At 41.1% G+C, this 8862-nt stretch overlaps 2 annotated features.

Moving 5' to 3' along the window:
* Positions 1509-2009: an enhancer, noted in NCBI's record as "H3K4me1 hESC enhancer chr2:137165304-137165804 (GRCh37/hg19 assembly coordinates)". NCBI's record gives its function as "activates a minimal SCP1, AML or CMV promoter by ChIP-STARR-seq in naive H9 embryonic stem cells {active_cell/tissue: H9 hESC(naive)}" and the evidence as "EXISTENCE:reporter gene assay evidence [ECO:0000049][PMID:30033119]".
* Positions 2010-2510: an enhancer, noted in NCBI's record as "H3K4me1 hESC enhancer chr2:137165805-137166305 (GRCh37/hg19 assembly coordinates)". NCBI's record gives its function as "activates a minimal SCP1, AML or CMV promoter by ChIP-STARR-seq in naive H9 embryonic stem cells {active_cell/tissue: H9 hESC(naive)}" and the evidence as "EXISTENCE:reporter gene assay evidence [ECO:0000049][PMID:30033119]".

The following is an 8862-nucleotide window of genomic DNA, read 5'->3' on the forward strand; positions in this document are numbered from 1 at the left end:
AGATGAGAAAGGATGAGAAGGCTTTCCCGGGAGGGCAGAGCTTTGGGTCCCAAGCAACCAAAGGGCGAGTATGAAGGTGCTGAAATCCTGAGTGGGATTAGTGCCCTCAGCCCAGGAAGACCAGGGAATAGGTTATTGCTCAGAGAAGGGGTTTGTGGCTTAGCACAAACATCACCTCCTCCAGGGAGGCTTTTCCAGCTCAGACAGCAGCCTACTGCTTCCTTTCCAGGGCCCCAGTGTCCACCTCTTTTGCCATGGCAATCATAGGGGGATTCTTGGTTTGTGGATTGCTGTTCCCACTAGACTATGAGTTCCCTCTTCTGTGTCCCCAGAACTTAGCTTCATCTCTGGTGGAGGGCAGAGCCTCAAGCAATGTGAACCCAATGAAGAAATTATTTCCAGCCCTGGATCGTTCTCTCCAAGGTTGCTGAAGCCAACCACGGGCACACATGGAGATTCCCAAGCAAGTCACAAGGACGGGAGCAGAATCAGACTCCCTCAGCACATGGCTGAGAGAGTGTGCAGGGGCAGGTGTGGGAGCCCTGAGCTCCTGTCCGGCTCTGCTTCTGTTCATCTGTGCCTCTGTGCCATCACTGCTCCACTCTGTCATTCCATCACCTCCGAAGGGGGTCTGCCAGATCATCTGCTGCTTCATAGTTGCCTTCCCACTAGAAAATCCCATGATTCCAATGGCACGTCCCCCAGCGTCTAGTGGAGCTGCCTGCATTTGAAAGGACAATTTCCAGGGAACAAGGGAGGCAACTATAGGGGCTCTAGCCCCCGGCACTGCATGGGGACTTGGTGTCATAGCATTTGCCAGCCTGCTGCAGCTACCCCCAGACACGAGGGAAGGCAGCAAGCAGACAAATTGCCTTCACAACCTCAAGAAGCGGGTATATTGGCACAACAGCTTCTGTGGTTGAAGAAAAAAATGAACAGGTTTAAAGCAAGCACATCAAGCTGTTTTTGAGTGCACTTAATGGCTGCCCAGACGTGCAAGCCCCTTTTAAAAGCAGAGTGACTTCACTAATAATAGAGCTCCGTTATTCTTTATCACTGACTCTCAACTCTGCTCCATATTTCCCCTTGGTGTTCTGCTCACTAACCTGTTTATCCTCTCTTAGAAACCTACACTTAAAGGCAACATAAAATACAGCATGACACCAAGGGAAAGCTTTCTGGTGGTGGCTTGAGCTAGCAAAATGATTGTGGCGGTGAGAGAATCCTCTCCAGGCAATTTTGTTTCCAGGGAACTCAAGCAGGTGTTGGGATTGGGAATGGGTGTTGCTTCTTGGTGCCCACTTGAAAAGATGTGAGGGCTCCTTGTCTCTCTTTGGGCTCCAGTGCTGAGCCCTGGTGTGGGGGCAGGAGGACAGCCCAAGGGGAGACAGTGACTCTTCCTCTCCCATTCCCTGGGTCTTTCAGGACCAGTCTGGGCACCCAGGGACAGATCAGACCTGCCTGTGGTTTTCCTGTCTAATCACGTTATTAATTAACATAACAAATCTTCGCAGCTGGTGGCTGCTGTTTGTGTCTCATCCCCCCGCTCCCCCTTGCACACTAATTAGTGCAAAAGCAGGGAGCAAATCTTCAAGCACTGATTTGCCTTTGTAGTAATGATTATTTTGGGAGCAACCCAACCGCCTCTAAGCAGTTACACTCCCCCCACGCTCTCAATTTGAACCACATGCTTTCTTCCTCATAGATTTTTGGCTTTGCTAGTTTGGGAAGGGGAACCCAATTATTGAAGAGAATAATACCACATTTGTCTCATCTGGTTTTAAAAGACAAAAGGAACTGTGAGCCGAGAAGGGGAGAGAACACCTGGAGAGGGTGTGACTCATTTAAAGGTGTTGGTTCATCTTCTTTTCAAAAAGCCCCTTGAAGGTGGAAGCCTCGCCTAGCCATGTCCGGTGGATGCCTCGCCCTTTATGAAGTGGTTCACAGCTCAGACAGCGCTCAGCCTTGTGGTGCATCTCGCCCTCCCTGGGCCTCTACTGGTCTGCCACACAGCAGGGACTGATGAGCCTCTGTGTGACCAGAATCGTGCCTGCAGCAGCCCGGAGGGGGGATCTGAGGATGGAGGGGTGGAGGGACCAGTGGCCCAAGTGGCCCAGGGACAGAGGCAGAGGTTTTGAACTTGGGTCTCTGTGTATTTGCTCTAGCTCTTGCCCATAGACCTTGCTGCCTTTGTGGCCAATTGGTGCCCTAGTAAATGATAGGTGAATGCGGTTCCAGCATGGGAGCACTGGCCTTCTGCTCACTGGGCAGTATTTTGAAGACTCAATTGTGCACACTGTGTTTGAGGGGGCTTTGTCTGTTGGGCCTTTTTTCCTCCCTAGCATCTTTGGAGGACAATCTCCTTCATTTTTCCTTACTCTCACTCCCTCATGCCCTCTCCCAAACACAAATTCTCATAACTTTCCTCACCTCACTTTCTCCCCATCTTTTCTCACACTGTTCTCTCCAGTGTCAGGGAGTGTGAGGATCTGGGCTCTGTGTGGAAGCATGCAGTTATCAATGAGCAATGTTTGGTGGGGGTGAGGTGTGCTATGAGATGTCTACCATCCCTGTCTTAAAAAAAAAACTTAAACTGTGATAAAACACATAGAACATTAATCTACTGTCATAACCATGTATGCACTTTAGTAGTGTTAAGTATATTCACATTGTTATGCAATCAGTCTCCAGAACTCTTTTCATCTTGCAGAACTGAGACTCCGTACCCAGTCAACAACACCTCGCCATGTCTCTGTCTCCCCAGGTCCTGGTAACCACCATTCTACTTTCTGTTTCTGAGATTGACCAATCTAGGTATTTCATATAAGTGGAATCATACAGTATTTGTCTTCTTGTGACTGGCTTATTTCACTTAGCATAATGTCCTCAAGGTTCACTCACGTTGTGGCATGTGTCAGAATTTCTGTTCTTTTTAAGGCTGGATAATATTCTTTTGTCTGTATATACCACGTTTCATTTTTCCTTTCACCCATTGATGAACGCTTGGGTTGCTTTCACATTTCGAGTATTGTGAATTCTGCTGTGAACATGGGTGTACAAATATCTGATCCTTTTTGTTTTTTGAGACAGTCTCACTCTGTCACCCAGGCTGGAGTTCACTGGTGCAATCACGGCTCACTGCAGCCTCAGTCTCCTGGGCTCAAGCTAACCTTCCACCTCAGCCCCCTAAGTAGCTGGGACTACAGGCCTGTGCCACCATACCTGGCTAATTTTTTGTATTTTTTTTTTTTTTTTATGGAAACGGGTTGGCCATCTTGCCCAGGCTGGTCTTGCACTCCAGGGCTCAAGCGATCTGCCCGCCTTGGCCTCTTCCCAAAGTGCTGGGATTATGGGTGTGAGCCATTGTGCCCCCGGCTCTGATTCTTTTTTTAAAGAAAAATTTCCAACCATTCAGTGATCTAACCCAGTGGTTTTCAACTCTGTGTACAATAGAACCACCTGAAGAGCTTTTAAAAAATATTGTTCCCTGAACCACCATCCTAATTACATCTAAGTGACTAGAGGTAGAGTCCATTGATTAATACATTGCCTTCCAAACACGCTGCAGCTCAAGAATCATAGCAGCTTTTAAAGAATACAGATTCTCTGGAGATTGTGATTTAGTCAGGGATGGGGCCCAGAAATCTGTGCTTTTAAAACAGCCTTAGGATATTCTCATGACTCTAAAATAGCATTTTAGAAATTACTATTGAAACCATCAATTAAAGGCCATCCTAACCTCCATAAAGCCTTTTTCCCTGGATCGCAAACTGCTTTAAGCTGTTCTATAATTGCCTTATTATGTATCTTGGTCTTATATCCCCACCTGGATGGTAAATTCATGAAACTGTAGAATTTTAGGAACTCAAAGGGGCCTTGGAGACCAGATCATCTGTTTGGCCAAAGCCACACATTAGTCAACTTCAGGGCTGGGTCGAGAAGCAGTTCGAGAGTCCCTCCATTCAACTGAAATTTAAGATTTTGTTTTCCCACAGTGCCAAGGCAGGCCAGCACTTTACTTTTAAGAAAGACAGTGTGACTTCCATTGCTCTGGTGAAAGACTTGATACTTATAACTTCTGCTACTCTGAGAAACCCCTGTCAATCAATGACTGGCATGGTGTTCATGAAAATGTGAGAGATCTGAAGTTGACTGAATGACAAAATTATCTAAGAGGCTGGAAATTTTCAGCATATACTGGGCTGACCAGAGCACTAGTTACAGATAACTGACTTGATGTTTAGGCCAGGTTCAAATACACATCAGCTATGAGATTCTAGATCAGTAAGTGACTTAACAGTTACGTTGGCAAAATGGATGTAAGCGTACTTATTTCATTGGGTCATGAATTATAAGAGCTTGCATTAATTGAGCATTGACTCTACACCAGGTGCTACACTAAATGGATTACATGGATTGTCTGACAGGGCTCTGAGGAAACCCCAGCTTGGAAATGTTAAATGACTCGTCCAGGGTGACCTAGCTAGCAAGTGGCAAGGCATACATTCAAAGTCACTCTGTTTGATTTCTCTCTCTTAACCACTGTTATTTAGAGATGATGAAAAAAGGTAAGGTAAGCAAAATGTTCGGCATAGTGTTAGTTCATTTCGGAAGCTCAGAGGATTGCAATAATCATCATTGTCGTCATCATCATCGTCATGGCAACAGTAACTAACCCTTACATAGCTCTTATTATGTGCCAGGCACTGTTTTAAGAACTTCACATATATTTATTTGCAAAATAACACTATGAGGTAGTACTCTTATTACGGATTTCATAGATGAGGAAGCTAAGGGACAAAAAGATGAAGTAATTCCAAGTTATAAAGCTAGTAAATGGCAGAGCTGGGATTTGTACTGGGAAGTCTGGCTCCAAACTTCGTACCATTAACCAGTATACTCTCCTGCTTTCCACATGGTAAATGGTAAATTTTAATAATTATAATGATTACTGATAAGGCTGTCAGTTTCTTTCAACACAGTATGGATGATACTGTTCTATATATTTTCCTTGTAGAAGTGCTATTAAGATACAAATAAATATGATAATAGATTCAAGTGTGCTTTTGATGTCTCCCCTTTCTGCCCTCTCAAAATTCTTATATGGTTCCATTTAATACTGATGCACAGCATCTGATTTCTTAGTCATTTTGGAAGTGACTTCTGGGGAAGAGATGTTCATAGGGTCATTACATATTTTTAAGATGGAAGAAACCTTTGGGATTCTCTAGGACAAAGATCTCTACAGGATGTACAACGTTACAGATAAAAGTCGGGGAAGAAAATGTTAGTATAAAGTAAATGAAACGAAGGGCCACGAATACAATTCTATTAAACCAGATAAGTCAGCCAAAGATGTCTTGAAACTATCAAGATATTTGATCTATAGATTGTCATCTAATGTTATCAGGATAAGTCAATCTTGCCCCAGTTCATATTGTGCCTTGAGGTATTAGCTGATGATAGTATCCAGCCATCACAATCGACAGGATATTTCATATTGCTATATCACCTTTATCTCATCCTTTTAAATATTTTATTTTTCTGCTTTTTAATAATATATGCAATGTTTCTTAAAGTGCATATTTATGGCTTATAAATATATGGATAAATAAAAGCATAGATACTGGCAATATGTGCTCTTTTAAAAAAACGGATGGAGTTCATGATCAAAACTAGAGACCCCTAATCTAGTCAATATTCATCCCTTTTTATGCATAAGGAAACAGGTCTAGGGTGGTTATGTGAGTCAGAATCCATTACCAAAGTTAGAACTTGAACTTGGTCCTTCTGACTCCAGGGCCCTGTTCAAGCCTCTATGCCACTCTTTCCCTCAAAGATGTAGTGAGATGCACACTGTGTCCCATTTTAACATCCTGGGACCTTGAATGACTTTGAGCAAGGTGCTCCTCTTTAGCAAGCCTTCTGGTGAGCAGAGATGTTCTAGCAGCTCAGGCAAATGTGGGATTGAATTCTGGGTCTGCCATCTACTAGCTGTGTGACATGGGGCAAGTAACTTCTCTGATCTTCACTTTCCTCAAACATAAAATACGAATAATGTATATTACAGGGTTTCTCTATAAGGAATAATTATATTGTCAAAGTGTATACTATGTGTTCCTTATAGTTGCAATAGTAATAGTGAATATTACTGTTATGATTTTGAAGATACAGGAGATACAGTTCAGTCTTATTTGAAGGAGATTCCTGGGGACTGATGGGTGCCCCATGTCTAGATGGGAATGGTTTGCCTGGCTGGCAAGGTGGCACAGAAGTGGCATGGTGCCATATGTGGCACCCAGCTCAGGACCCCAGAGGTTGCCTCTGTGGGCCCATGCAGAATCCTATCTTTTCTTAAATCAGAGAGAGAAGGTTTCAGGCTTAGATTTATTATGTAAATGACAGAATCTAGCCAGCAATTGAAAATATCCTCTTTTCAATTTATTGATTGATGCTTATCTTCTCTTTATGACAAGTAATTGTCATAACAATTTTCTATGGGTGCTAATGATACAATATTTTTCTTCAAAATTAACTTTCAAGTTAAAAAAGGAGTGAATTGAATAAAAACATTACATTCATCATAGTCCAGTCAATACTATGACTATGGAAGAAAATCATGGGCGGCTGGTACATCAGGGAGAAAAGTTTAGAAAGCAGGGTCTAGCCTGGTTAACTCAGTGGTTTTCAAATGATTTGCTTGAATACTCCCAAAATATTTTAAAATCTACAAATCTCTTGCCTATCTCAAAGTTGACACAAAGTTTTTATAGTAAGTTTTTAAGTTTTCAAAAGATATAATTTCTCTCCCTTCAACTTTCATAATACAAATATCAAGTCTACAGAAAAGTTGAAAGAATAGTGCAATGACTACTCATATACCCTTCATCTGTAGCCAACAATTGTTAACATTTTGTATCATTGCCCTATCTCTCTGTTGTTTTTTTTTCCATGTGATAGAACATTTGAAAGTCAGTTGCAGACATTCTGACATTGATTCCTAACACTTTAGCATGCATTTCCTATGAATAAGGATATTCTCTTATCCTAAGACAATAAGTATCTTTATCACATCTAAAAAATGAACATGATGCAAAGCATGTAACCTCTGACATAGCTTAAATATTGACCTTTAAAAATAAATTTCTTACGTTATGCTTTTAAATTCAGCCAATGAAATCTAAATACCAGAAGGCTTTGATGCCCATCACTATCCATTTATAAATACATAAGTAAGTTCTTCTTTAGCATTTGAACATTTTACACCTTTACTTTCTTTCCTTGAATTTACATATCCCGCTGACTCCACAAAATCTTATCCTACTATATAATTCTTTATGCTTGAAAGTTTTTTATTGATCATCCTAGCATGTTCTTCTAAATAAAAAAAGCATTGATTAAAATTGAATTCTTTTTTATATGCTGTGATCACTAAACGCTATTAAAATTATTTTCAAATGGGTTATTTTTATAATCGTACACAGATGCACTATGAGTATACTATTAGCACAGCAAGATTACAGTTTTGATATTAGTCATAAAATGTAAAAAATGTTTTGGAAATGTATCTCCTAAATGACATGATTTAACAAATAGTTACTGTATTTATCGATGAATATTACTTATTGCTTGAAAGAGATAGGGTGCAGCATCAATTGTATTCTGTTTTTATAGAAATAAAAATTCATATGTACTATTTATTTTGTAATAAAATCATGGTATCCATTACAAAATAAATAGTAATAGAAGGGGTTTATTATTTGTGTATATGCATTTTAAATTACTTCATGGTTATATAACAATCACACAGTGCTATATCACAAAAATTATTTTAATAATTTTAATAATCTATCATTTGACAACTCAGGTCCTTCTTCAGTTTTATTAAAAGCAATGAATTGAAAATAACCCACACTGCAAAAGATTTGTTATCTAGTTGTCATACTTATTCACTCTCTTAATTTTTAAAAACTTTGCTGGCAAGTGTCAATCCACATTAAATTATTATTAGACTTAATTTTTCATTTAAAGGCATCTTTAACCTGATATATTGGTAAGTGATTGAGAAAATAAAAATATCAGTCATTGCAAAATATCTTTGCTAACACAATATTTTTCTCAAATGCAAAAACTTTAAATGTACTTACAAACTGTGGAATTGAAGCTTTTAATTTATGGAAAATATTTACCATGTCAAACCCATCAGCCAAAGTTAGCTGTTTAGTGCCGGAAAGCTTCTGACTTCTGGGTCCAATTCAAGTGTATATCTCTGTGATGACCCTCTTGCTTCTGGTTCTGACTCTCACAAAGAAACAGCTAAGTGGGACGTGGAGCCTCACTTGGTGCTTGTAGCCCTGGTGAAGTAAGGCCTGGGCCACTTTTTTGGCTTTGCTCAGGTCTCTGCAGCCCTAATTTATCTGATGCAAGTTGGGGCTAGATAAGAGGACACAAAGTCGAAGTTCTGAGTATTTGAATTCAGAACTTTCAAACATGACTGAAATACCTTGTCTTTAACCCCACAATTTGTCTTTAACAGAATATGTTTAACACCAAGAAAGACAAGCAGCCTCAACGAGTGCCTGGCTGAGACACTGACATTCCCATTTTCCCCTGGTCTGGAAATACCTGGACCCATGACCCTTGGATAAAGCCCCGTGGCAAGAGACAGGCAGGGTGGGAGGATAGGCATTTATTGTAAAGCGAGCCCAGGGGTCGGTGGAAGTAGGGAATGGGAGGGGGTACCCGCAGACCAGCAAGAAGCCTCTACCATCGAGGAGGCCACAGGAGGGTCTGTGTTAGGGAGAGTGGGGATGTTCGTGGGAAATCTGGAATTTGATTTCCCTAACATTATCCATGGCTGCA

Source organism: Homo sapiens, chromosome 2, assembly GCF_000001405.40.
Source record: "Homo sapiens chromosome 2, GRCh38.p14 Primary Assembly".
In the NCBI taxonomy this organism is placed as follows: Eukaryota; Metazoa; Chordata; class Mammalia; order Primates; family Hominidae; genus Homo; species Homo sapiens.